Raw genomic sequence first — 27,525 nt, forward strand, 5'->3', positions numbered from 1 at the left:
TCCCCAGCACCATCCCTTCCGCAGCACCGTCCCTTCCCCGGCACCGTCCCTTCCCCAGTCCCCCGGCACCGTCCCTTCCCCAGTCCCTTCCCCAGCACCATCCCTTCCCCAGCACCGCACCATCCCTTCCCCAGCACCGTCCCTTCCCCAGCACCATCCCTTCCCCAGCACCGTCCCTTCCCCAGCACGATCCCTTCCCCAGCACCATCCCTTCCCCAGCACCATCCCTTCCTCAGCACAATGTCTTCCCCAGCACAATGTCTTCCCCAGCACCATCCCTTTCCCAGCACGATCCGTTGCGTGCTTGTGCCGTATTTCGTTTCTTCATTCTCCTGGTGATGGGCACGTTTGTGTACAACTCTTTGTGTGGATGCGTGTCTTCAAGTCCTTGGGGCCTGTATCTAGGAGTGGGTCATGTGCTGGGGTAAACTCGGTTCTTCACAGTGGCCGTGCCTTTTCACACTCTCACCAGTCCCCATACTATACACTGTCCGTCTTACGTCAAGTTCTGAAGCTCTGAACAGGCCATCTCACTTCCTCATGTTTGGCCAGGCGGTGTAGGGGTGACGGTGGCGGGTCCTTTCCCTCCTTCATGCACGTGCAGGATAAGTAGACCTTGGCTGGGGCCCTCAGAGTCAGCAGGTGCAGTGAGGGAGACGGATGCCCTTGGACCTCGACCTCAGGTCTTGTCTGTCTCCTCCACAGAATTATTGCCTGACAGTGTCTCTAAGGGTTTTCTCAGATGCCAAGTCTTTAGATGGCTCTGGGGAAACGTGCTGTGTGTTGTTCCCCGGTTTTTTTTTTTTTTTTTTTTTTTTTGAGACAGAGTTTTGCTCTTGTTGCCCAAGCTGAAGTGCAATGGCATGATTTCGTCTCACTGCAACCTCCGCCTCTCGGGTTCAAGCGATTCTCCTGCCTCAGCCTCCCGAGTACCTGGGATTACAGGCATGTGCCATTGCGCCCAGCTAATTTTGTATTTTTAGTAGAGACAGGGTTTCTCCGTTTTGGCCAGGCTGGTCTCGAACTCCTGACCTCAGGTGATCCACCCACCTTGGCCTCCCAAAGTGCTGGGGTTACAGACATGAGCCACTGCGCCCGGCCTGTTCCCCATTTGTTACTCTTTATTTGACTGTCTGTTCTTCCACCCATGAACATGTTGTGGGACCAGCACGGCCTCTGCGCTGGGCTTGGCCCCGGGGCCTCTGTGGTGAACCAGCACCAGAGCAAGGCCAGCGGGCTGCGGCAGGACAAATGGGTGAGGTGCTGCTGCTGTCAGCGTAGCAGGCCGGGGGTGAGATGGGAACTAGGCAGGCAGCCCTCTCTGAGGAGGGGTGGAGGGGAGAAAGGACACCCTGACAACCAGGTAAAGACCATCTGGCCCAGGTGAGGAAGCAGTCCTGAGGTGGGGCGAGGGGCCCAGGACGAGGATGGAGAGATACTGCAGGCTCTGCAGGCTGAGAGGAGCGTGCAGGCAAGCTCTGGGTCAAGGGGGCCTGCAGAGCAATGGGCAGAGTGGGTGGCCACAGACCCTCAGGAGGCAGCATTGGCAGGAGAAGGGGGAGGAAGAGGACAGTCAGGAGGCCTCAGAGTCTGCAGGCTGAGCACCAGCAGGTTGAGGCTGATGGGGCCGTGTCTCAGTCTAACTGATAAGCTGCAACCCTTAAGTAACATCTTAAGAGGATAGGTGTGTACTTTATACATTTATTTAACGTTTGTCCTTCTGTACAAAGCTTTCAGTAGCGGCTTTGTGAGAATTTTGGCGTCTCACATACTGTGCCTTGAGGCTTGCTGCATGGCGTGCTGCAGGTCCTCCCTCCAGGCCTTCTGGAAAGTCTGGTTCTCCTCAGGTTACTCCTGGGACATGGCAGCTGTGCCCATGACCCTCGGGATGAGTTTGTTCTCTAACTGATTCACCGGTTAGCTCTGGGGAGATTCTAGGTGTAAATTTTTTCCTCTTAGTTTGAAAAATCCATTATGGGCCAGGCACAGTGGCTCATACCTGTAATCCCAGCACTTTGGGAGACTGAGGTGAGAGGATCAGTTGATCCCAGGAGGGTGAGACCAGCCTGGGCAACATAGTGAGACCTTGGCTGTGCAAAAAAATAAAGTAGTTGAGCATTGTGGCGTATGCCTGTAGTCCCAGCTACTTGGGAGGTTGAGGTGGGAGCATCCCAGGAGGTGGAGGCTGCAGTGAGCTGTGTTTGTGCCACTGCACTCCATGCACTCCAGCCTGGTGACAGACCCTGTCTCAAAAACAAACAAAACAAAAAAAACTTGCCATTAATTCCAAACAGAATTTTGTGTGTAATAGAGAATGCGATCTTTATGACACTGATGCTTTGGTACTTGCTGGGCCGGCTGGGTGGTTTTTATGCATGTGATGGGTACGCCTGAGAGGATGCTTCTTTTCTAATCATTGGTCCCCTGAGTTCATGGAGGTGCGAGCTGGAGACTCACGTTAGCTTGGTCTCAGTCGCAGGGAGGAGAAAAGCCGCTCATGAAGCTGGTAGCTGTGTCGTTTTTGTTTTGTATAGCTGTGTTTCGTCTTCACTCTTAAGTCAAGAATTACTGGATGCAGGCTTCTAGGTTGATGGTGAGGGAGCCCGGGGACCCCCAGAACTGGTTGTCATCGGAGAGGCCTCAGTGTTTGGGGCTGAGATGGGTGCATGGAGGCCAAGCACAAGACCCCAGGAGGCAGTTACCACTTCCATGAAAAACAAGAAGTGGAATAAGACAGCCTGTACTTCTTGGTCCAGTAACAAGCCATATTTTACATAGCCATAATAGTTAAATTGAATATTGATGTAACTGAAGATGGCGATGTAACCATTTTGGAAGATTGGAGGAGGGAAAATGGGGCAGGGTGCAGTGTGGCAGGGCATCTCATGGGGACTGTTTGGCAAAACAGAGGGAAGTAGATGCGAGCTTAGAGGGGAGTGTGGGCGGCCTGTCAGTAGCCACGGCCTCTCAGCACTGGCTCCTTTTTCTTTTGAGATGGAGTCTCGCTCTGTCGGCCAGGCTAGAGTGCAGTGGTGTGATCTCGGCTCACTGCAACTTGCGTCTCCCAGGTTCAAGCGATTCTCCTGCCTCAGCCTCCCGAGTAGCTGAGACCACAGGCTCGCGCTGCCACACCTGGCCAATTTTTTGTGTTAGAGATGGGGTTTTGCCATGTTGGCCAGGCTGGTCGTGAACTCCTGACCTCAGGTGATCCACCCACCTCGGCCTCCCAAAGTGCTGGGATTACAGACGTGAGCCACCGCGCCCGGCCAGCAGTGGTTCATTTTCTAGTGACAGGCACGTGTATGAAATCACAGGGAACAGGACTGTAACTCCACGCATTTTGAATAAAACCAGGAATTCTTTGTTGTGACTGCTGGTCTTGTTATAAATGTTACAACCCATTTCCTCGGTGCCACAAAGACTCAGAGCACTCAGGGCCCTGGCCAGTCACTGGCTGTGCTGGTCTCGGCTTGTCATAGGGTAAACTTGCTCTGCACAATGTGGCTGGCAGAGCGTGTTCCTGGGCCTGTGACTGAGGGCAGCCTGCAGGAGATTTGGGCTGGAGATGTGTTCCCTCGGGAGTCAGGGACACAGCCTGTCATGGAGAGTTAAGACGGGTCTTTTGTAGGTTTGGACAGGTGAAGTGCTCAGATCCCTCTGCAGGGTCAAGGCTGGGAACAGCAGTGGCCCCGGGTACCATGACATGGGCAGGAGGGAGCCACCTGGGTCCACGATTCTGTCGTCAGGGTAGGGGTTGGTTTGTTCCTGTGGACCATGGCTAACGTGAAATGGGGCAAGCTCAGCTCTAGGGGTTCCTGGGAGGCCTTGGCTTGGAAGGTGCCCACTCTCAGCTCAGGAGTCAGGGTGTGGGAGATGCCCACCAAGCAAAATGAAGCCTCTAGCCTGGCCTGCTGCCCTCGGAGGAGCCCGATGCTCTGTCTGGGAAGCCTGGGGGCTGCCAGCTGTGGACTGTGGCTGCCTGTGGTTGCCGGTGTCTTGGCTTAGTGACTGAAGGGGTGAGAGAGTGATCGTCCAAGGACAGCCCATCTCCAGATGTTTCTTAGTGGTTGCCCAGCCACCTGACACGCCAAGCTGGGGCCTTCTCCCAGACACCGTCCCCTTCTCTCTTTGCTGTCACCTGGGCCAATCCCACAGCAGCTGGGGCACCCCGTTCTCCTTCCCAGCAGCTGACAGATGGGCCTGGGAGGGCTCCTGCGCCTGTCTGCTTGAGAGGGCGGTGAGCTAGTCATCGTGAGCCGGCCAGGGCTCTCCTATCTCACTGCATTAGAGCTTGAGCCAGGCTGGTGGAGGTGGCTGCAGCCGAGGGAGAGCACGGCTGGCACCTGTGAGGACCATGGATGGGGACACATGGGGCAACGGGCCCGTGAGTGCTGTCGAACCAGCCTGTTCCAGGCTCTGGGACGTAGCACGAAACGGCAGTGCAGAACCCCTGCCCTTGGGAGCTGGCTTTCTAGTGGGAGACAGACCACAAAGTAAGGCAGGAGCTAGGGAGGCAGAGGAGTGGGGAGGCCTCCCTGAGAACGTCTGGGATGGGAAGGCAGCATCCCAGCAGGGCTGCACCTGGCATGTTTGGAGGCCACAGGGAGGCAGGGTCAGAAGGAGCAGGTGAGAGGCAGGCCTCACAATTCTGTCTCCAGCTCCAGGCTCCTGAAGAGGATGGTGGGGCATCCCTGAGAGCTGGTGTGAGGGGTGGGACACTGAGCTGACTGCAGAGCTGACTGCAGAGTGGAGTGGGCGTCAGGGAGGAGGTGCAGTAGCCTCAGGGAGGAGGTGCTGGGACGTCAGGGAGGAGGTGCAGGGGCCTCAGGGAGGAGGTGCTGGGACGTCAGGGAGGAGGTGCAGGGGCGTCAGGGAGGAGGTGCGGGGGCGTCAGGGAGGAGGTGCAGGGGCCTCAGGGAGGAGGTGCTGGGACGTCAGGGAGGAGGTGCTGGGGCCTCAGGGAGGAGGTGCTGGGGCGTCAGGGAGGAGGTGCTGGGGCCTCAGGGAGGAGGTGCTGGGGCCTCAGGGAGGAGGTGCAGGGGCGTCAGGGAGGAGGTGCAGGGGCGTCAGGGAGGAGGTGCTGGGGCCTCAGGGAGGAGGTGCAGGGGCCTCAGGGAGGAGGTGCAGGGGCGTCAGGGAGGAGGTGCTGGGGCCTCAGGGAGGAGGTGCTGGGACGTCAGGGAGGAGGTGCAGGGGCCTCAGGGAGGAGGTGCTGGGGCCTCAGGGAGGAGGTGCTGGGACGTCAGGGAGGAGGTGCAGGGGCCTCAGGGAGGAGGTGCAGGGGCGTCAGGGAGGAGGTGCAGGGGCGTCAGGGAGGAGGTGCTGGGGCGTCAGGGAGGAGGTGCTGGGGCCTCAGGGAGGAGGTGCAGGGGCGTTGGAGGAGGTGCAGGGAAGTCAGGGAGGAGGTGCAGGGGCGTTGGAGGAGGTGCAGGGAAGTGAGGGAGGAGGTGCAGGGGCGTCAGGGAGGAGGTGCTGGGGCCTCAGGGAGGAGGTGCAGGGGCCTCAGGGAGGAGGTGCAGGGGCCTCAGGGAGGAGGTGCAGGGGCGTCAGGGAGGAGGTGCAGGGAAGTCAGGGAGGAGGTGCTGGGGCGTCAGGGAGGAGGTGCTGGGGCGTCAGGGAGGAGGTGCAGGGAAGTCAGGGAGGAGGTGCAGGGGCGTCAGGGAGGAGGAGGTCCTGGGGCGTCAGGGAGGCGGTGCTGCCATGGCATTGGACACATGGCCTCTGGGGCTGCGGGGTCTGCTTTACTTTTGAGTAATTTGATGTCATGATTTATGTTTCGTTCGGAAGGAGAGTGAAACTAGAATAAAACGAAGTCGAAGATGATTTTGGAATTATTTCATAGCATTTAGAAGAAAGGAAAATGTGATCATCCAAACCGCACTTCAGCCAAAGTTCACTTCAGGTGTTAGCTCCATCGTGGCTGCAGCAGCCTGTGTTGTCTGTCAGCCCTGTCTGCGTCGAGGAGTGACCAGCAGGATGTGCTGGCCTAGTTTGCTGGGAAGCACAAGGAGGCTTTCCTGTCACAGCCACAGGCCTTGTTTCAGGAATAGAATGAGATAGAGAGGGATTGTTCCAAATAGGCCATTGCTGTGTCTCACACACCCTCACGCTTTGGAAGAATAAGGGAAACGCACGTGAAAAATTCCTAATTAATTGAAAATTGTTTTAGTTTTTATAAGGAAAACTAATATGAGAATGGTATTTAGGTCCTACCAAGAATATAAAAATGCCATCTGTGTTCATATCCCCTGCTCCGCCCTCTGGGGCAAGACCCTCAGATTGTTTGCCCACTGTCAGAACCTGAGCTGTCATGCGCTGTGTCCAAAATGCTTCGCTGTATATTGAAAGTTTTTAGTTCTGTGTTTCAGTGTTTATAAGCGCAGGCAAGACTGTTAGCATTTTAAAATGTAATTTAATTTTTAATTTATTATTATTATTATTATTATTTTGAGACAGACTCTCGCTGTAGCCCAGGCTGGAGTGCAGTGGCGCGATCTTGGTTCACTGCAACCTCTGCCTCCCGGGTCCCGGTTCAAGCTATTCTCCTGCCTCAGCCTCCCTCCCAAGTAGCTGGGATTACAGGCACATACCACCATGCCCAGCTAATTTTTGTATTTTTAGTACAGACGGGTTTTCACCATGTTGGCCACTATGGTCTCGAACTCCTGAACTCGTGATCTGCCCACCTCAGCCTCCCAAAGTGCTGGGATTGTAGGCGTGAGCCACCATGCCCGGCCTATTTTTTATTATTTTAAATGTATTATTTATGTATTTATGAGACAGGGACTCACTTTGTCACCCAGGTTGGAGTATAGTGGCATGATCTCAGCTCACTGCAGCCTCCACCTCCCAGGCTCAAGTGATTCTTGTGCCTCAGCCTCCCGAGTAGATGGGACTACAGGCATGCCCCCACCACACCTGGCTAATTGTTTTTGTGGAGATGGGGTTTCACTGTGTTGGCTGGGATGGTCTAGAACTCCTGACCTTAAGTGATCCGCCCGCCTCGGCCTCCCAAAGTGCTAGGATTACAGGCGTGAGCCACCACACCCGGCCTTATCTTTATTTTTTGTAGACATAGGATCTTTGCTATATTGCCCAGGCCAGTCTTGAACTCCTGGACTTAAGCAATCCTCTAGTGTCAGTCTTCCAAAGTGCTGGGATTACAGGTGTGAGCCACCATGCCTGGTCTCCACTTTTCTTTTTTCTTCGAGACAGGGTCTTGCTCTGTCACTCAGGCTGGAATGTAGTGGTGCAGTCTTGGCCAACTGCATCCTCTGCCTCCCTGGCTCAAGCCTTCAGAGTAGCTAAGACTACAGGTGTGTCCCACAATGTCCAGCTGATTTTTTTCTTTTCTTTTCTTTCTTTCTTTTTTTTTTGAGATGGAGTCTTGCTCTGTCGCCCAGGCTGGAGTGCAGAGTGGTGTGATTTCGGCTCCCTGAAACATCCGCCTCCCAGGTTCAAGTGATTCTCCTGCCTCAGCCTCCCAATTAGCTGAAATTACAGGTGTTCGCCACTATGCCCAGCTAATTTTTACTATTTTTAGTAGAGATGGGGTTTCACCATGTTGGTCAGGCTGGTCTTGAACTCCTGACCTCAAATGATCCTCCTGCCTCAGCCTGCCAAAGTGCTGGGATTACGAGTGTGAGCCACTGCACCCGACCTAATTTTTGTATTTTTGTGGAGATGGGGTTTCACCATGTTGCCCAGGCTGGTCTCAATCACCTGGGCTGAAGCAATCCACCTGCCTCAGCCTCCCAAAGTGCTGGGATTACAGGCATAGGCCACCGTGCCTGGCCCCAACCTTCACTTTTAAAATAAGTGATTGACATTAGAATAGATTGTGTTAAAGGTATTAAGTAATGCTATTTTATAAGTAGCTGGTCTATTTTAGGCAAGTAGTTGAATTAATAGTGAGACAGTGTGAAGACACCTAAGTGTCTTCTGTCACTCACAGGCCCTGGAAGGTGCTTTGACCTGTGAATATCACTGAGACGCTGGAAGCCAGTGCCTTTTCCTACAGGAGGAGAGGCAGGTGCTGCGGGATTGGTTGTGTTTGCAAAGTGATGACTGTAGCTGACGTAAGAATTATAGCCTGTCTCTCATGAGAAGATAGCTTTTCCTTTAAAGTTTTTCTCATAGAACATTGATTATAGAAGATAAGCAAAAAAAGAAAATAAAATGAAAACTGCGCGTGAACCCAGCACCCAGGAAAAGATGTTGTTTTTGTATTATTTCATCATACCTACACCTTCTCATGTAAATGTTTTTAAAGGTTTAAATCTGATTGGTACCTAACACTTTTTAAAGGCCATGGACAGTTTTATGGAGCTCAATGTCTTGCTCTTTTTTTTTTTGCAGTGCTGTCTGCTTCTTTTAAGAAATAAAAAGTTTATCTCCTACCTCTGCATCTCCTCCTCAGAATTCTCTCCAGAAGCCTTGTTCCTGTGGGCAACGCATCTCTGACCCGTTGGCAAGGCTGTTTTCTCTCCCTGGATTTCTCATGCTCACTCCCTTGCTTGTCTTGACCCCCCCCAGGGCCCCCAACTCCCACACATCTGTCCCTGGGGGCCTCCTTCCCAGGGAGTCCCGAGGCCGCCAGGGGTCCCGTCACTGGGTGGCTATGGGTGGCCTGTTGAGCACGAGGTCTTCTCCCTGCAGATCCTGATGGCCAGTGCTACGGTGGTGTCGCTTCTGCCCAAGATGAGGAGCCCCTGGCCTGCCCGGACGAGTTCGATGACTTCGTCACCTATGAGGCAAGTGGTTTTCACCCAGGAGCTTGGGGGAAGTCTGGCATCCACCTCTTCCTTTATGCCCTACAGCTCGTGCCTCCTGCCTCCGGGCTGTCTTCCGTAGAAGCTGGCGTGAAGGAAGGGCCTCCCGCCCTGTGTGCACCGTGGGGCTCTGTGGCTGTGACGGGAGGCCCACAGTTGTCTGTCCCACACGCCCTGTCAGCCTGGGCAGGAATCCTCCCCCAGGGCCTGTCGCCAGCAGAAGTGGGGTGGGCAGTGATGTCATGACCACCCGCTGCCAGGCTGGCAGGCACAGGCGGAGCAGAGGGCTTGGGAGGATTCCTTTTGTCAACTTGCAAATGATTTTCTGTGTTTGGGGATGCCTGACTAATGCCTGCCCCTGCTTGGCTGTCCTCCACCCTGCTCCCAGATGCAGCCAGGGTTGTCATGGTGACGTGGCGTCTCCTGTGTCTCCTGTCACTGTGGGTCCCTTGTTCTCAACATAGCTGGGGAGAGGGTCTTCGAGCACAGCCGTGGTCGACAGAGCGTAACCATGTCCGCCGGTCTGGAGGGTTAGATTCCAGGAGAGCCACGTGGCTGCAGCAGAAAATGCATGAAGTTGAACTTGAGCCCTTGGGGGCCGCCGGGAAGGTGGAGGTGGCAGCCGCCAGTCCTGGTCAGCCTGCTGCCGAGCAAGGGTACCAGAAGTGGGGCTGAGCTGCTGGCCGGTAGGGCCTGGGCTTCTCATGTCAGTCCTCTGAGCCCTGACTCCTCGAAAGCTGAGGCTGGCACAGGGTAGTTTTTGAGTTGCTTTTGGACGCCACTGTACCGTGGGAGCCATGGTATTATACTCAGTTCCCTGTTCCGAGAAGCTGCCCCAGGGATTAGTCACCCTCACCCTTGGGTGGGCAGCTTAACTTCTGCCCACACAGACCCTGGGGGTGGTTCTGCCTTACGGCGGTGTCCCAGTTATCAGCTGGGCTGCAGCTTCTGGGGCCAGGGCGCCCACCGTGGGTCCCATGTTTGGCCTTGGTGTGCTCTTTCTGCACGTGAGGCAGCAGTGAGGTGCTGGCTAAGAGGGCGTGTGGTGGGAGTTGGACCCTCTCGCATGGCTGCAGTGTGCAGAACGTGCTGGGAGACCCCAGGACTACAGACGGTGGCTCCTGTGCCCTGAGAAGGACCCGGCTTCTTCACGAGGAGATGCCCAAGGCTCTGCAGGGTAACCCAGAGCCCTTGGTCTGCAACGTCCGGGGAACTGTGTGTTCCTGGGCGTTCATGTGCCTGTGCACTCTTTCTCACGTGTATCCGTCTTTTTGTTCCCCTCTCATGTTTGTTAGGGCATTGTTGATTGTTTATATCCTATGTATGGTGCAGTGGCTGAAGAGTGGCCTCTCAAAAGATATGTCCACCCAGCAGCTGTGGATGTGGCCTTATTTGGAAAAAGGGTCTTTGCGGATGTAGTTCATTAAGGATCTCAAGGTGATATCATGCTGGTTTGGGCCCTAAATCCAGTGACAGGTGTCCCTGGAAGACGGGAGAGACACACAGGGGGAAGACCATAGGAAGACAGGGCAGAGACTGACCAGAGCCAGGGAACTCCTGGGGCTCCCAGAAGCCAGCAGAGGCAAAGATGCATCCTCTCCGAGAGCCTTAGGCAGGAGCCAGCCCTGCTCACACCTTGGCTTTGGACTTCGGGCCTCCAGAACTGAGAGGATAAACTGGTGTTTCTTCACGCCCCGTGGTCTGTGCTAGTTCGTTATGGCAGCCCTGGGCAGGGAAACCTTGAGTGACGTTACTCGAGGCACCAAAGGCACCAGTGCATTTTATCCTTAAAGGCCCACGTGGTCTGAAGGGTGTGGCCGAGCCTCACGCTTGTCACTTCAGAAGGGTGGGAACCTGACATGTCAGAGCTAATCCTTCTCATATTTTTAGATCCTGATTTCTTTTTTAGAATGGAAGAAAGTTTTTTGACTTAAAAAAATGAATATGCTTCATGTTTTAGAGCAATTTTAGGTTTACAGAAAATGGAACATAGTGTAGAGCATTCCGGGATCACGTTACATGATTATTTGTTTTGTTTTGTTTGAGACGGTCTGCTCTATTACTCAGGCTGGAGTGTGGTGGTACAGTCTCGATCTTGGCTCACCACAACCTTCGCCTCCTGCGCTCAAGTGTTCTTCTTTCTCAGCCTTTCCAGTGGCTGGGACCACACTCAGTAACCACCACGCCCAGCTGATTTTTTGTATTTTTTTTTTGTAGAGATGGGGTTTCACCGTGTTGCCTAGGCTGCTCTCAAACTCCTGAGTTCAAGCGATCCACCCGTCTTGGCCTCCTAAAGTGCTGGTATTACAGGCGTGAGCCACCGCACCCAGCCTGATATGTTAGTATTAGCCAAAGTCCGTAGTTGAGGGTTCACTCTTGGTGGTGTGTATTCCGTGTTTTGACAGGTCCACGATTATAGTGTCACAGAGTCGATTCAGTGCCGGCTCATCCCTCACACCAGCCCCCACAACCACCGATCCTCCGTGTCTCCACAGCTCTGCCTCTTCCAGAACGCCACGGAGCTAGAACCATCTGGCATGCAGCCTTTTCAGATGCGCCTCTTTCCCTTAGTGAATACGCAGTTACCTCTCCTCCATGTCTTGCTTTGCTTTTTAAGGGTGGGATGTAATTTTCCACAAAGTGGAGTTCGATACTGTGAAACTTATGGAAAATTTGCTCTTTTAAAAAACAGCTTGCACATCATGTCATCTTAAAAAAAAAAAGTCTAATAAAGATATGAGTAGGGAGTATGTGTTCCATCCAGATACCCTATTCGGGGACCCTCCACTGGTAGTCTTCAGGTAAATAAACCTTTGATTGATTGGTTGATTGGTTGATTGATTGATATTCTGAATGGTTCCAGTCAGACCCATTTCTCTTTACTGGGAGCATCGCAGTGCTCACACCGGGGTGGTCGGGTAAAATGTGCAGTTAGTCATGGCCGAGCTAGTGGGTCTGCTGGCTCGCACTGTTTTCCCAGGGATCCTTTCAGCAGGCAGCTTATAACGGGAAAGTTGCTGCTATGGTGTCTGAGTAAGTGGGGAGAGTAGAAGGGGATGGACTGTGGCGCCGCTGAGTTCCTGGGCATGGTGATGTCTGAGGATCTGAGCAGGTGGAGCCCAGGGGGTGGTGGGGCTGTTTGTCGGGTTTCTGGAAGAGCGAAGGGAAAGTCAGGGAGTGTAAGGCGCATCTCACAGAATCGTCGGGCCGCGCTCTCTCCCGTCCTCCCTCCTTCTCCCACTACTGGCGATGTCTGGAGCAAAGAGCTGCCTTAGTGAAATGATAGTGAAATGTGTCTTTTGTGCAAACCATTATCAGCTTAGGAAGCCAAAAACAAAAGCCACTCTGTTTTCAGCCCTGACTGACTAACCGTTTTTTAAACCAGCAAGGACACTTCCTGAACTTTGCCTTCCCCTCCCTGGGCAACACCAGCAGGAGGTTTATTAGAGCGTGTCTGGGAGCAGGTTAAACTTTCTCCTAGGTGGTGATGTGCCTCCAGGTGAGCGCACAGGCTTTGCAGAAACCCCAGCATGACAAGCAAGTAGGAAGGTGACATTGTTGTTTGAGAAAAGCCAGTGACCCGGTTGGGACGGAGACACGATGGGGAGCCGGTCTCCAACAGCATGCCCTTCCTGAAGGTGTGTACAGAGCCAGGCCCAGCCTGTGAGGCCACCCGGGCCAGCATCTGAGGGTAAGAGGAGGCAGTAGTGTGCACTGTGCCCAGTATTCCTATTTCTGTGGTGGAGAGAGGCTCAGGGAAGAAGGAACTGTGACGGGGACAGTGTTGGCCCCACTTGAGTTACTGATGGCCCTGAACGGGCTTTTTCTCTGTCCGCTGGTGATTTAGGGGACTTGTTAATTAGTGAATGTAACGTTTCAACATAGCGACGTTTTCCAAGATGCACTTTGATTTTCAAGCGAGTTCATCTTAACATTGGTAATTTGTAAAAATGTTAAAAAGTTGGTAGCATAGACTTGATGGCTTCTGGGCAAGGCCAGGTCCTGGCTGGCTGGCAAATAAAATAAACTGCCGGGGCCGGTGTGAGCTGTTACTGCATTTTATCCAGGAGGCCGGGAGTGAGCAGGCACCGTGCTCTGAGGTACATTTTTGTCTCTGGAAAGGCAGGTGATGGCTGCCCTGGAAAACTCCATGTAGGGAGGCCTTGAACTGCAGAAACCAACCCGCAGGGCTGAATTGGGAAGTGAGCAGGTGGGGTGGCTCCTGTGAGCCTCATGAGCTGTCTGGAACCCCCAGGGCATCCAGCCGGCCAGGGGCTCTGAGTATCGATGGCGATGGCATGGAAGTGGACGTCCACAACCCCAGAGCAAATAAAGGGGTGGGTGCAGTCACCGAAGCCGCTGAGGAGTGGAACTGTTCATCTCTGTGGGATCTACAGTGCACGGAGCCACTCTGCAATGGCAGGGAGGCCCGGCTTACTTTATTTTTTATTTTTTAAATTGTTTTTTGAGATGGAGTCTCACTCTGTCACCCAGGCTGGAGTGCAGTGGTGCGATCTTGGCTCACTGCAACCTCCACCTCCCAGATTCAAGTGATTCCATGCCTCAGCCTCCTGAGTAGCTGGGATTACAGGCGCCCGCCACCACACCCAGCTAATTTTTGTATTTTTAGGAGAAACAGGGTTTCACCATATTGGCCAGGCTGGTCTCGAACTCCTGGCCTCAAGTGATTCACCCACCTTGGCCTCCCAAAGTGCTGGGATTACAGTGAGCCACTGCGTCTGGCCCTCAGGCTTACTTTAGAAATGAGAAGGTGAAGGTGGGTCCAGAGCGGAGCGTGTGAGTTCCAGGCTTGGCAGGGTGCCCTGGCATCCAGCTTACAGGGAGTCTGAGTTTGTGTAGAATCTGCCTCATTGTTCCTGTGTCCGTGGAGAATTCTTTCCATCCCAAACCATCCTGTCTAAGCTCTGAGGAGGCACAGGTGGCTCTAAGGCGGCACTGGCTTTTGCCTGCAGGGGCACCATCCTCAGCTACAGGTCTAACAGGAACTTGGTGAAATAAGCAGGCCCCACTGCCCGGACCTCCCTCCCTTCGTAGGACAGATGCTCTGCTCAGGGCTCCATGAGCTGTTTGAGAGAAGGTGTGGGTTTGTTCTTAGAAACATCATGCTTTCTGTTGGGGACTTAGGGTCCACACTGGCCAGGGAAGGGCATCGGGCATCTGTCAGAAGTACCAGTCCATTGACTTTTTAAAAGCTGGTCCAAGGTCAGGTGCGGTGGCTCATGTCTGTAATCCCAGCACTTTGGGAGGCTGAGGCAGGAGAATTGCTTGAACCCGGGAGGTGGAGTTTGCAGTGAGCCGAGATTGCGCCACTGCACTCCAGCCTGGGCGACAGAGCAAGACTCTGTCTCAAAAAAAAAAAAAAAAGAAAGAAAAAATTTTAGGCTGGGCATGGTGGCTCAGGCCTGTAATCCCAGCACTTTGGGAGGCCAAGGTGGGCAGATCACAAGGTCAGGAGTTCGAGACCAGCCTGACCAACACGGTGAAACCCTGTCTCTACTAAAAATACAAAAATTAGTTGGGTGTGGTGGCGTGTGCCTGTAATCTCAGCTACTCAGGAGGCTGAGGCAGAATCACTTGAACCTGGGAGGTAGAGGCTGCAGTGAGCTGAGGTCACACCATTGCACTCCAGCCTGGGTGACAGAGCAAGACTCCGTCTCAAAAAAAAAAAAAAAAAAATTAGTCAGGCATTGTGGCAGGCGCCTGTAATCCCTGCTACTTGGGAGGCTGAGGCAGGAGAATCGCTTGGACCTGGGAGGCAGAGGTTGCAGTGAGCCAAGATGGCGCCACTGCACTCCAGCCTCGGCGACAAGAGCGAGACTCTATCAAAAAAAAGAAAAAAGAAATTTTAGGCTACGTACTGAACCACTGAACCTGATGTTGTAATAACCACACTTTTTAGAGTCAGCAGCGGGTCTTCCTGGTGCCCCTGGGGTGAGTCTTTGTCACTGATGACTCTGGGGCAGTGTGGCCCCTGTGAGTGTGCAATCCTGTTGGGGTAGCTGGCAACTGCCCTCAAACCGTCTCGGACCTGTGCGCTGGGCTTCGCATCCTGCCCCGTCATGCCTTCCCCACAGGCCCAGCCTCTGACAGACATCCTGGGCCTGCCTGCTTTCCTGGCCACTCCCGCCTTTTCCTGCCTGGCGTCCCGCAGGCCCAGCACAGGCCAGCCCTGTCCTGAGTGGGCCCTGGGCCCTGCCGTCCTGCAGGAGTGGGAGCTGCCCAGGGACGGTGAGTAGCACGAGAGCTGGGGTTTCTTACAGTGCTCTCCTGGTTCTGGATGTTACAGTGGATGCTCTTGAGGAATGACTTAGTTTTTATGAATTACTTCCTTAGATTGTAGGGGAGATTATAATTGGACACCCAGAGTAGGTACACTTCACAGCACTCCCTGTTCCCTTGTGGCTTTAGAAGCAGCTGGCAGGGATTTCCCACCCACCAGTGACACTCGCACCCTGCAGTCCTTGTTTCTGTGCTTTGAAAAGCACCTTCCTGGGTTGTCTTTCTTGGTTCCATGAGGTGGCCACCTTGTGAGACGAGAATTTATAACCCCCGTTTGCGGCAGGGCTCCAGGTGGTTGAGTCACACGTCTGAGGTCACACGGCTTTTAATAAAGGGGCCAAAGATGGAACTGCGGCCTCCCGCAAGTGCGCCAGGCTCCTGGCAGCTCGGCCTGGCCCTTCACGTCTCTTCCAGTGAGGCTCAGGTGGGTGCAGCCTGGGGTGGGACCCTCTGGTAGCCCTCGCAGGTCTTAGCACACTGTCTACTTCTTTTTTTTTTTTTTTTGAGATGGAGTCTTGCTCTGTTGCCAGGCTGGAGTGCAGTGGCATGATCTTGGCTCACTGCAGCCTCTGCCTCCTGGGTTCAAGCGATTCTCCTGTCTCAGCCCCCCGAGTAGCTGGGACTGCAGGCACGTGCCACCACGCCTGGCTAATTTTTGTATTTTCAGTAGAGATGGGGTTTCACCATATTGGCTAGGCTGGTCTCGAACTCCTGACCTTGTGATCCACCCGCCTCGGCCTTCCAAAGTGCTGGGATTACAGGCATTAACCACGGCGCCCAGCCACTTTGTCTGCTTCTTACGATACTAGAACTAGAGTGCAAAGGGCATCTTTTTCTGCTGGGACTGCAGCTTTTCTGAGATCTTGTTTATTTGCAAATTGTTAACCTCAGAGTCTTCTGAGCATGAAATGTTGGCCACTTTTCCTAACCAGCAATTTCATTTTCATTAAGGTTGAAATTATAAATTGAAAATGTTGGCTGGGCACGGTGGCTCACGCCTATAATCCCAGCACTTTGGGAGGCTGAGGTGGGCAGATCTCTTGAGGCCAGGAGTTCAAGACCAGCCTGGGCAACATAGCAAAACCTCGTCTCTACAAAAAATACAAAAATTAGCTGGGCACAGTGGTGCATGCCTGTAATCCCAGCTACTTTGGTGGCTGAGACACAAGAATCACTTGAATCCGGAGGCAGAGGTTGCAGTGAGCTGAGATGGTGCCACTGCACTCCAGCCTGGGTGACAGAGTGAGACCCTGTCTCAAAAAACAAGAACAATTAGAAAAAGAAAAAAAAAGTTCTGTTTAATAGTTCTTTAGTTTTGTGTTCATTTGTATGATCCACAAATATTTACTATCTACCTATACCTGGTCCTATGCTAGATGCTAGATACTTAAGAGTAAAAACAAGTTGGGTGTGGTGGCTTATGCCTATAATCCCAGCACTTCGGGAGGCTAAGGCAGGCAGATCACTTGAGCTCAGGAGTTTGGGACTAGCCTGAGCAACATGGCAAAACCCCATCTCTACAAAAAAATACAAAATCAGCGAGGTGTGGTGGCTCACACCTATAGTCCCAGCTACTCAGGAGGCTGAGGTAGGAGGATTGCTTGAGCCCAGGAGTTTGAAGCTGCAGTGAGCCAAGACCGCACGACTGCACTCCAACCTGGGTGTCACAGTGAGACTCTATCTCAAAAAAAACACAGCAGTAAAAACAGTAAAAACAATTGGTTGCGATGGCTCACACCTGTAATCTGAGCAGTGTGGAGGATCACTTGAGGTGCGGAGTGGATGACCAGCCTGGGCAACAGAGTGAGACCCTGATTCAAAATAAATAAATCAACAAACAAACAAACAACTGAGCCAGGTGTGGTGGCACCTGTAGTTCCCAGCTACAGCTAGATCCTGTCTCTATTTTATTAAAATAAAAAAGAAATTACTCTGCCAGGCTCAGTAGCTCACACCCATAGTTCTAGCACTTTGAGAGGCCAAGGCTGGTGGATCACTTGAGCACAGGAGTTCAAGACAGCCTGGAAAACAAGGCAAAACTCCATTTCTACAAAATTTCAAAAAATTAGGCATGGTGGCTTTTACCTGTGGTCTCAGCTACTCAGGAGGCTGAGGTGGGAGGATCACTTGAGCCCAGGAGATCAAGGCTGCAGTGAGCTGAGATTACACCATTGCACTCCAGCCTGGGTCTCAAAGAGAGACACTGTCTCAAACAACAACAACAAAAATTACTCAGAGTACCTTGTTTTCTGCTCTCAGACATGTACCTATTTTTCATTTAAAAAAAAGTTGAATTCAGCCAGGCACGGTGGCTCACGCCTGTAATCCCAGCACTTTGGGAGGCCGAGGCAGGTGGATCACCTGAGGTTAGGAGTTCGAGACTGGCCTGGCCAACGTGGTGAAACCCCATCTCTACTAAAAACCCAAAAATTAGTGGCGTGGTGGCACGCATCTATAATCCCAGCTACTCAGGAGCCTGAGGCAGGAGAATCTTTTGAACCCGGGAGGTGTAGGTTGCAGTGACTGGAGATTGCACCACTGCACTCCAGCCTGGGCAGGAAGAGTAAAACTCCTTCTCCAAAAAAAAAAAAAAAAAAAAGTTGAATTGTGTTTTATTCATTTTATTTTCATTTTTGAAATAGAGGCTCACTCTGTCGCCCAAGCTGGAGCTTAATGGCATGATATCAGCTCACTGCAAAATCTGCGTCCCAGGTTCAAGCCATTCTCCTGCTTCAGCCTCCTGAGTAGTTGGGATTACAGGCATGTGCCACCACACTTGGCTAATTATATTTATTTATTTATTTATTTTTGAGACGGAGTCTTGCTCTGTCGCCCAGGCTGGAGTGCAGTGGCGTGATCTCAATTCACTGCAACCTCCACCTCCCGGGTTCAAGCGATTCTTCTGCCTCAGTCTCCCGAGTAGCTGGGACTACAGGTGCCCGCCACCACACCTGGCTAATTTTTGTATTTTTAGTAGGGACAGGGTTTCACCATTTTGGCCAGACTGGTCTCGAACTCCTGACCTTGTGATCTGCCTGCCTTGGCTTCCCAAAGTGCTGGGATTACAGGCGTGAGCCACTGCGCCCGGCCTGTATTTATTTATTTTAATTTTTTTTTTTTCAGACAGAGTTTTGCTCTTGTTGCCCAGGCTCGAGTGCAATGGAGTGATCTCAGCTCACCACAACATCCACCTCCCTGGTTCAAGCAATTTGCCTGCCTCAGCCTCCTGAGTAGCTGGGATACAGGAGTTCGCCACCACACCCGGCTAATTTTGTATTTTCAGTAGAGACGGGGTTTTTCCATATTGGTCAGGCTGGTCTCGAACTCCCAACCTCAGGTGATCCTTCTGCCTCGGCCTCCCAAAGTGCTGGGATTACAGTCGTGAGCCATTGCGGCCAGCTGTTATATTTATTTTTAATTAATTAATTTTTTTGAGATGGGTCTTTATCACTCAGGTTGGAGCACAGTGGTGTGATCACATCTCACTGCAGCCTCGACCTTTTGGGCTCAAATGGTCCTCCTGGCTGGCGCTGTGGCTCACTCTTGTAATCCCAGCACTTTGGAAGGCTGAGGTGGGTGGATCACCTGAGGTAAGGAGTTTGAGACCAGCCTGGCCAACATGGTGAAACCCCGTCTCTACTAGAAATACAAAACTTAGCTAGGCATGATGGTACATGCTTGTCTTCCCAGCTACTCAGGAGGCTGAGGCAGGAGAATCACTTGAACACAGGCCACGTAGGTTGCAGTGAGCTGAGATCATGCCACTGCGTTCCAGTCTGGGCGATAAGAGTGAGACCCTGTCTCAAAAAAAAACCCCCAAAAAACAAAAAGCAAGCTCCTCCGTCAGTCTCTTGAGTAGCTGGGACCTACAGGCAGGTGCCACCACACCTGGGCAAGCTCCTCCGTCAGTCTCTTGAGTAGCTGGGACCTACAGGCAGGTGCCACCACACCTGGGCAAGCTCCTCCGTCAGTCTCTTGAGTAGCTGGGACCTACAGGCAGGTGCCACCACACCTGGGCAAGCTCCTCCGTCAGTCTCTTGAGTAGCTGGGACCTACAGGCAGGTGCCACCACACCTGGGCAAGCTCCTCCGTCAGTCTCTTGAGTAGCTGGGACCTACAGGCAGGTGCCACCACACCTGGGCAAGCTCCTCCGTCAGTCTCTTGAGTAGCTGGGACCTGCAGGCCGGTGCCACCGCACCTGGGCAAGCTCCTCCGTCAGTCTCTTGAGTAGCTGGGACCTGCAGGCAGGTGCCACCGCACCTGGGCAAGCTCCTCCGTCAGTCTCTTGAGTAGCTGGGACCTGCAGGCAGGTGCCACCGCACCTGGGCAAGCTCCTCCGTCAGTCTCTTGAGTAGCTGGGACCTGCAGGCAGGTGCCACCGCACCTGGGCAAGCTCCTCCATCAGTCTCTTGAGTAGCTGGGACCTGCAGGCAGGTGCCACCGCACCTGGGCAAGCTCCTCCGTCAGTCTCTTGAGTAGCTGGGACCTACAGGCAGGTGCCACCACATCTAGGTAAGTTTTGTATTTTTGGTAGAGACAAATTTCACTTTGTTGGCCAGGCTGGTCTTGAGCTCCTGGGTTCAAGCGATCCACCCACCGAGGCCTCCGAAAGTACTGGGATTACAGGCGTGAGTCACCGCGCCCAGCCTGAATTGTGTTTTATAAGTAATGTCTCTGCTTAGAGACAGTTGGGACTTCAGGCGTCAGACCCCTCCCTCCACACTGCCCTCTCCAGGGCCTTGCAGCAGTGAGGTGTGGGGCGTTCGCAGTTCCCCTCCCAGCTTGTGCCCGCTGACTGCTGGCGCACTCTCTCCTAGGCCAACGAGGTGACGGACAGCGCGTACATGGGCTCCGAGAGCACCTACAGTGAGTGTGAGACCTTCACGGACGAGGACACCAGCACCCTGGTGCACCCTGAGCTGCAACCTGAAGGGGACGCAGACAGTGCCGGCGGCTCGGCCGTGCCCTCTGAGTGCCTGGACGCCATGGAGGAGCCCGACCATGGTGCCCTGCTGCTGCTCCCAGGCAGGTCTGTACCCCGCCACGGGCCTCCTGGAGAGGCCTTGGGATGTGGCACCCTGTGGAGGTGTCTGATGGGCAGACTGGGGTCTTGGAGGAGTGCGTGCTGGTTAGCATCCATTATGTGGGGGTGGGGCTTGGCCCTGCAGTAGCTCCTGACCTTCCTGGGATGAGCCCACACCGTCCTGCCCGCCTTGCCCGAGCAGTCTCCCTGTTCCAGCTGACTTTCCTGTCAGGACGACTGTGGTTTCAAATGTTGCTCAACATCTTTAGCTGTAGAGATAGAAATTATAGAAGTGAATGTCTCGGCAGGGTTTTGGAACCCGTTCACCTTTGCAGCACCCCTGAGGAGGCCATGTTCTCTCCCCACCTGTCCCCCACCCTCAGGATTTCTGTAGCCCCCGTATTTCGAGCTAGTTGGGGCCGGAGTAGAGGGACGGGCAGAGTCTGGGAGAAGGTCAGATGAAGGAGGTGTCCAGTGGCTCACGTGGACCTGCTTTCCGTGTTGCCCCTGCTACTGGAAAGTCCGCTCAGCACGCTGAAGTGTAATTGTGAAGCAAAAATTAAATTCTCAGCCTTCAGCCAACTGATGGACCCCCTCTCTCAGCCTCAGGCGTTGCTCAGTCAACCTGAAAATGTAGTTCAGGCCATGGTTAGGGAGGTCAGGCAGGCCTCATTGGGCCCCTCCCTTTGGAACTGAGGCCCAGCTGACCAGCATTCACATTAAACAGACTCTGACAAAGGCGGACTTTTTATAGCAGCGACAGCACACCACATTCCAGCCTGACTCTAGTGTAGCATCACATGACAGGTGGCAGGCCCTGAAAGAAATCCGAGTATTTTACCCCAAAATAGATTTCTTTGACATTTTTCAGAATGGCTCTACAGGACTGTGTCTTGTGGGGAAAGTCTGCACCCTGTAGAGAATCTCCTCCCTTCCCAGGTCTTTTCCCTGGTGCAGGAGGGAATTAACTCGGAGTCTGGCACCTTGTGAGGTCTGCTGCCTGCTGCCTGGAGGCCTCATCTGCTTGATAAAGCCTTGGTCTCCACAGCCCCTTATCTTAAGCCGAGGCATTCCTTTCTATTGATTCCAAGTCTTTAGATAATAACTCTTTCAAACAAACAACTGCCAGTCAGAAGATCTTCGCATCTGCTTTGACCTGGAAGCCCGCCCGTCCCCCGCTTAGAGCCGTCCCATGTTTCCTGACTGAAGCAGCATCTTGCATGTAGGGTTGATGTCTTCTGTCTCCCCAAGATGCATAAACCCGGCCCTTGGGCACATGCTCTCAGGGCTTCCTGGGGCGGCATCACGGGCTGTTAGTCACTCTTATCTGGCTCAGAATAAACCTCTTCAAATATTTTACAGAGCTTAAGTCTTTTTGCCAACATAATATACCCACAAGTAAGTGCCCATGTTGTAAGTGCACAGCCAGCAGGTTTTTCAAACTGACCATTCCCACGGCCCTTTTCTCAGGCAAGAACAAAACACTCCCGCACCCAGGGTCCTCCCAGGCCCCTGACAGCAGCCAGCTCTCCACCGGCCCTGCATCTTCCTTAAGTTCCCCCACACAGGGAGGTCCTTCCTGTGCCTGGCTTCTTCCACTTGCTGTTGCGCTTGTGGATTTAGCCATTTTTTTTTTTTTGAGACGGAGTCTCGCTCTGTCGCCCAGGCTGGAGTGCAGTGGTGCGATCTCAGCTCACTGCAGCCTCCGCCTCCCAGGTTCCAGCGATTCTCCTGCCTCAGCCTCCCGGGTAGCTGGGATTACAGGCGCCCGCCACCACGCCCGGCTAATATTTGTATTTTTTAGTAGAGACGGGGTTTCACCATGTTGGTCAGGCTGGTCTCCAACCCCTGGCCTCAGGCGATCCGCCCGCCTCGGCCTCCCGAAGTGCTGGGATGAGAGGTGTGAGCCACCGCGTCTGGCCGTATTCAGCCCTATTTTTGTGCATTGCTGTAAACTGTTGACTTTTATGATTCTATTGCGAGAGCGTGCTGCGACTCTAGAGTTGACTCTCCTGTCGGCGGCAGCGGGTAGTTCACTGTCGTTGGCTTTGAGGGTGAAACTGCTGTAGGGATTCCATGTCTTTGGGAGCATGGTACGGCCCTAAGCAGGATGGTCATCGGGAGCACGTCCCTTCAGCCTTGCAAGTTCCTGCAGGGGCTGCAGGGTCACCAGCCTCCGGCATCTGTGGCTCCTGGGCTCCCTGACCTCAGCAGCATGTGGCCATGTCTGCTCTCCTGCTCACCTTGTGGGGGGCATGCAGAGACCCTGCCACATGCTTTTTACTTGCGCTTCCCGGGTGACTAATAAGGCATGCACCTTTTGTCAGGGTGGGAGCTCCTCTGCCTGCTCACTGCTTGCGGGAGGGGTCTGCAGACTTTTTCTCTAGAAGAGTTGCAGGCCACGCAGCCCCCGTGGCAACTGCTCAGCCCGGCTGTTGTGCTGCAGAAGCAGCCAAAGGCACGTGGGTCAGTGAGCGTGGCTGTGTCCCAGTGAAACAATTTTCAGAAACAGGCTGCGCAGGATTGGCAGGACTTGGCCTGCCCCTGGTCTGTTGGGTCCTCTGTCTTTTTCTCACTGATTATAGGAGTCCTTTCGATATGAGTCCCTTATGGGGTGTGGGTATCACAGATCCTTTTTGCTGCTCTGTGGGTCTCCTTTTCACCTTTTGAGGAACAGATTTTTGTTTCTGTTTTTTTGTCAAGATGGAGTCTAGCTCTGTCGCCCAGGCTGGAGTGCAGTGGCGCCATCTTGGCTGACTGCAACCTCTGCCTCCCAGGCTCAAGTGATTCTCCTGCCTCAGCCTCCCAGGTAGCTGGGATTACAGGCACCTGCCATGGCGCCCAGCTAATTTTTGTAGTTTTAGTAGAGACAGTGTTTCACCATCTTGCCCAGGCTGGTCTCGAACTCCTGACCTTGTGATCCACCCACGTTGGCCTCCCAAAGTGCTGGGATTACAGGCATGAGCCACAGCCCCTGGCCAGAACAGATGTTTTTAATTTTGCTATAGTTGAGCTTATCCATTTTTCTTTTATGTTTATTAGCACTTTTGTGTCCCACTTGATAAATCTTTGCTTACTACACAGTCACTATGATGTTTACTTACGCTTTCTTTTAAAAGTGTTATTGTTTTACCTTCATATTCAGATCTGTGATCGCTACATAATTTTTTTATTTTGTTTTGCTTTGTTTTGAGACAGTCTTGCTGTGTCACCCAGGCTGCAGTGCAGTGGCACAATCTTGGGTCACTGCAGTCTCTGCCTCCCAGATTCAAGTGATTCTCTTGCCTTAGCCTCCTGATTAGCTGGGACTACTGGCGCCCGCCACCATGCCTGGCTAATTTTTTTGTATTTTTGGTAGAGATAGGGTTTCGCCATATTGGCCAGGTTGACCTCAAACTGCCAGCCTCAAGTGATCTGCCCTCCTTGGCCTCCCAAAATGCTGGGATTACAGGCGAGTATTTTCTCACTAGTTTTTAAGCAGTATAACTCTTGGTGGGGCATGCCTGTAATTCCAGCCCTTTGGGGGGCCGAGGCAGGTGGATCATGAGGTCAGGAGTTTGAGACCAGCCTGGCCAACTTGGTAAAACCCCGTCTCTACTAAAAATACAAAAACTAGCTGGGCCTGGTGGCACGCACCTGTAATCCCAGCTACTCGGGAGGCTGAGGCAGGAGAATCGCTTGAACCCAGAGAGGCAGAGTTTGCAGTGAGCCGAGATGGCACCACTGCATTTCAGCCTGGGCGACAGAGCGAGACTCTATCTCAAAAATGAAAACAAAAGTATAACTCTTTTGGGGGACACACATTTTGAACAGCTCATTTGTGGCTGGATCTAACTGCTAGCTAGCGCGGCTCATCTTCTGTGGACCGTGGAAAGCACGTTGGGCGTCTGGGTGCAGACCGTCCGGTTCATACAGTCTCTGCCGTGTGGCCTGGGCCTCTTGGTCCTCAGTGTGACGTTGCATGTGGGCCTTCTCTGTTCCCGTCAAGCATCAGGAAGAAGTGTCCTGAGGAGAGGAGGAGATGGGGTGGTGAGGGGTGCTGAGCCCCTCGTCATTGCTTCTGAGGGAGTAGCAGGTTTCACCATGGTGGCCCGGGGAGGCGGGGAAGGGCCTGCTGGCCGATGGACCAGTGTGTGTTTTCCTCTCGCTGATTCTCCTCCCCTCAGAGGGCAGTTTTCTGTCACAGTATCTGAGCCTGTTGGTAAAACAAGCACCCAATCATAAGAAACAGAAAATAAGGTCTTCCTGTAACGTAGCCTAATTTTAGATGGCGGCTGTGGAAGGGAGCCACACCTCCCTGTCACTGTGTAGGAAGGAAGGGGCTGATGCAGACAGGCAGCGCCAAGTTGAAGACCCTATTGGGAGGCCATGAAGTGGCACAGGCCTCCTGGTTTTGGTTTCTTTTTTTTTTTTTTTTTGAGACGGAATCTGGCTCTGTCGCCCAGGCTGGAGTGCAGTGGCGCGATCTCGGCTCACTGCCATCTCCGCCTCCCAGGTTCACACCATTCTCCTGTCTCAGCCTCCCGAGTAGCTGGGACTACAGGCACCCGCCACCACCCCCAGGTAATTTTTTGTATTTTTAGTAGAGACAGGGTTTCACCGTGTTAGCCAGGATGGTCTCGATCTCCTGATCTGCCCGCCTCGGCCTCCCAAAGTGCTGGGATTACAGGTGTGAGCCACCGCCCCCGGCCCTGGTTTAAGCCTGCGTGTTTGAGGCCATGGGATTCATCCTGAGCTGTCCCAGCAGTGGTGCGTGGTGGGCATTTCTGCGGGTGTGAAATTGGAACTCCTCACGGCTGAGCACAGTGGGTCCGGGCGGAGCAGAGCGCGCGGTCCTCCTGACTCTGCCCCCTTCTCCTGGGCACGAGGAGTCGCCTCACTCTGCCAGGCCCCTTTCTTTCCTGGAGTGGAGCAGCGCCGGGCCTGCACAGAAGGTTCTCCCGAGGACTCCTGCGGGAGGGTGGGAGTGGGGACCGCTAGGGCACAGGAGCCGCTGAAGGCACAGCTGTTTCACATGGCCCCCGGCCGCTGTGTTTTCCAGAACTTGGCTGTGGAGGAGTCACTCCCTTCAGAAGGAGGGTGGGTATTTGGAAGCCCCTTCCTTTCCCTGTCGCAGCTGCTGTTACGTTTTAGCTTAAAGTAGAGTTTGAACGGCGCCCCCCAGTGGTTGTGTGAGGACAGCAGCTCCCTAGGGAAGAGGCAGAGGTGCTTGAACCCAGATGCTGCTTTGTGTCGACCTGTGCTGTCCTGTGTGGGGCTGCGGAACTTGTGACGTGGGAGGGCACACGAGTGAGGAGTGTGAAGAGGCTGGAGGTTTTGAAATGACTGCGTGTTGGGCTAAGTAAAATTTTTTGTTAAAATATATTCGGGCCAGGCGTGGTGGCTCACGCCTGTAATCCCAACACTTTGGGAGGCCGAGGTGGGTGGATCACGAGGTCAGGAGATCGAGACCATCCTGGCTAACACGGTGAAACCCCGTCTCTACTAAAAATACAAAAAATTAGCCGGGCGTGGTGGCGGGCGCCTGTAGTCCCAGCTACTCGGGAGGTGGAGGCAGGAGAATGACGTGAACCCGGGAGGCGGAGCTGGCAGTGAGCCGATATTGCACGACTGCACTCCAGCCTGGGCGATAGAGCCAGACTCTGTCTCAAAAAAAAAGGTAAAGAAACAGATTTATTTATTTATTTTTTTTTTTTGAGACAGGGCCTTGCTCTGTCACCCAGGCTGGAGTGTAGTGGCATCATCACTGCTCACTGCAGCCTTGGCCTCCCAGGCTCAAGCGATCTTCCCACTTCAGCCTCCCGAGTACCTGGGACTACAGTCGTGCGCATCCATGCCTGGGTGATTTAAAAATGTTTTTTGCAGTTGAGGCCTCCCCCTGTTGCCCAGGCTGGTCTCAAACTCCTGAGCTCAAGCCATCTGCTCGCCTTGGCCTCCCAAAGTGCTGGGATTACATGTGTGAGCCACCGCATCCAGCCCACTTTTTTTTTTTTTTTAAACGTGGCTCCCAGGACTCACGTGTGGCTTGTAGCACACCCTATGGAAAGCACCTTCCACACCCTCAGCTCGGGGGTGCCCTGGCCTTCAGTCAGAAGACATCATTTCTGTTTTACTTTGCAGGCCTCACCCCCATGGCCAGTCTGTCATCACGGTGATCGGGGGCGAGGAGCACTTTGAGGACTACGGTGAAGGCAGTGAGGCGGAGCTGTCCCCAGAGACCCTATGCAACGGGCAGCTGGGCTGCAGTGACCCCGCTTTCCTCACGCCCAGGTAATGACGCCTTGTTCCAGCACACCCTCCTCCCTCTTCTTCCCGTGGTTAGTAGTGGGAAGTTTCCCTTTTTGGTTCGTGCATTGGTGAGAGAACTTGCTTTCCTTGACGTCATGTGATTAAGTAAACCATATTCAAACATTTTAAATTTATACCTGGATTTATGAAAGTTGGGAGAAGTCCCTCTTCTCCAGCCACATCCCCAGATCACTCTACATTTCTGAGGCTTCAGCAAAATCCTGTGGCACAGAGCTGTGTTTGCACACTTGGCTTGCGGGCTCCTTTGCTGTGGGCCGTGGATCACATGGTGGTCTGTGCAGGCTTTTGAGGGAGGCCTCATGATCATAAGTGAGTCTTCAGATTCATTTCCTTATAAATATCTGACATCCCCAAACTGGAAAGCTGTGACTCTGAATAAATAGAAGCACAACACGCAGTGGGCGAGATGCCCACTCACAAATGTCCAGAGTCACTCTAGGGAGTCCAGAGTCCTCTTGGCTTGGATCCGAACATGGGGGTCTGGGTACGTACTTCTGAGGGCTAGGGGCTCCCACGTGGGAGTCAGTCCCTCTAGGACGCTCCTGACTTCAGGGAGACCCTGGGCTGGCCGATGGGGTTGTTACTTCAATCCCTTCTCCCCTTTGCTACTAGGTTGTCGTCCATCTTTGCCAGCAGTCAAGGCCGAGCCTCTTTAAGCAGCCACAAGAGTCTTCCCTTGCCTGCTGCCCGCCCGCTGTTACTGAGGCCCAGGGAACCTGGGTGGAGGGCGGTGCAGGAGGGGCTGAGCAGCTCGTCTGCCCATAGGGTCCCCCTCCTTTTGTTTCCCATGTGCCCTCCTTGAAGCCGCCCGTCAGCCCTGGGTGTGGGGACCCTGCACGGATATCCTGTGTGCTCTGGTCCCGGCGAGCGTCCTGGGAGAGCTGTGCATGAGTGAGGCATCACAGACGGTCCTCAGAGGCAGTGTGCTTGTCTTAGGCACTTTCCTCTCCCAGCGCGTGGTGGTGTCAAGACAAGGGCCAGAGGACTGGGGCGTTTCTAAACTTGGGTCTCTGTGCTTGGTAATCACCTCTTCCTACGTGTTTAGTTTGTCCCTGTCTCCTGTTCAGTGTTTTCATTGTTACCTGTTTGAAGTGTAATGTCTATGCTACATTGTATGTTTCA

The 27,525-nt window shown here is 53.5% G+C and overlaps 1 protein-coding gene across 12 annotated transcripts in view, besides 6 other annotated features; it reads left to right on the plus strand.

Annotated features, from left to right (window-relative positions):
- The window catches only part of RAB11FIP3 (RAB11 family interacting protein 3), a 97,363-nt gene that overhangs the window by 36,988 nt on the left and 32,850 nt on the right, over window positions 1-27,525 (plus strand). For 5 of the 12 annotated variants that reach the window (NM_001370401.1, NM_014700.4, XM_017023907.2 and 2 more), the window contains exons 3-5: window positions 8,659-8,753; window positions 19,889-20,100; window positions 26,215-26,364. In NM_001370401.1, the coding sequence (NP_001357330.1) occupies window positions 8,659-8,753; window positions 19,889-20,100; window positions 26,215-26,364 (457 nt within the window). Of the gene's footprint in view, window positions 1-8,658; window positions 8,754-11,176; window positions 11,601-12,287; window positions 12,463-14,866; window positions 15,021-19,888; window positions 20,101-26,214; window positions 26,365-27,525 lie in introns of those variants that run through there. The other 7 variants (XM_005255714.2, NM_001142272.2, XM_011522764.3 and 4 more) reach the window with 6 other exon arrangements.
- Window positions 3,604-4,233: an enhancer, noted in NCBI's record as "H3K4me1 hESC enhancer chr16:516240-516869 (GRCh37/hg19 assembly coordinates)". NCBI's record gives its function as "activates a minimal SCP1, AML or CMV promoter by ChIP-STARR-seq in naive H9 embryonic stem cells {active_cell/tissue: H9 hESC(naive)}" and the evidence as "EXISTENCE:reporter gene assay evidence [ECO:0000049][PMID:30033119]".
- Window positions 4,234-4,862: an enhancer, noted in NCBI's record as "H3K4me1 hESC enhancer chr16:516870-517498 (GRCh37/hg19 assembly coordinates)". NCBI's record gives its function as "activates a minimal SCP1, AML or CMV promoter by ChIP-STARR-seq in naive H9 embryonic stem cells {active_cell/tissue: H9 hESC(naive)}" and the evidence as "EXISTENCE:reporter gene assay evidence [ECO:0000049][PMID:30033119]".
- Window positions 19,367-19,872: an enhancer, noted in NCBI's record as "H3K27ac-H3K4me1 hESC enhancer chr16:532003-532508 (GRCh37/hg19 assembly coordinates)". NCBI's record gives its function as "activates a minimal SCP1, AML or CMV promoter by ChIP-STARR-seq in naive H9 embryonic stem cells {active_cell/tissue: H9 hESC(naive)}" and the evidence as "EXISTENCE:reporter gene assay evidence [ECO:0000049][PMID:30033119]".
- Window positions 21,897-22,402: an enhancer, noted in NCBI's record as "H3K27ac-H3K4me1 hESC enhancer chr16:534533-535038 (GRCh37/hg19 assembly coordinates)". NCBI's record gives its function as "activates a minimal SCP1, AML or CMV promoter by ChIP-STARR-seq in naive H9 embryonic stem cells {active_cell/tissue: H9 hESC(naive)}" and the evidence as "EXISTENCE:reporter gene assay evidence [ECO:0000049][PMID:30033119]".
- Window positions 22,403-22,908: an enhancer, noted in NCBI's record as "H3K27ac-H3K4me1 hESC enhancer chr16:535039-535544 (GRCh37/hg19 assembly coordinates)". NCBI's record gives its function as "activates a minimal SCP1, AML or CMV promoter by ChIP-STARR-seq in primed H9 embryonic stem cells {active_cell/tissue: H9 hESC(primed)}" and the evidence as "EXISTENCE:reporter gene assay evidence [ECO:0000049][PMID:30033119]".
- Window positions 24,457-25,335: an enhancer, noted in NCBI's record as "H3K4me1 hESC enhancer chr16:537093-537971 (GRCh37/hg19 assembly coordinates)". NCBI's record gives its function as "activates a minimal SCP1, AML or CMV promoter by ChIP-STARR-seq in naive H9 embryonic stem cells {active_cell/tissue: H9 hESC(naive)}" and the evidence as "EXISTENCE:reporter gene assay evidence [ECO:0000049][PMID:30033119]".

This window comes from Homo sapiens, chromosome 16, assembly GCF_000001405.40.
Source record: "Homo sapiens chromosome 16, GRCh38.p14 Primary Assembly".
Classification (NCBI taxonomy): Eukaryota; Metazoa; Chordata; class Mammalia; order Primates; family Hominidae; genus Homo; species Homo sapiens.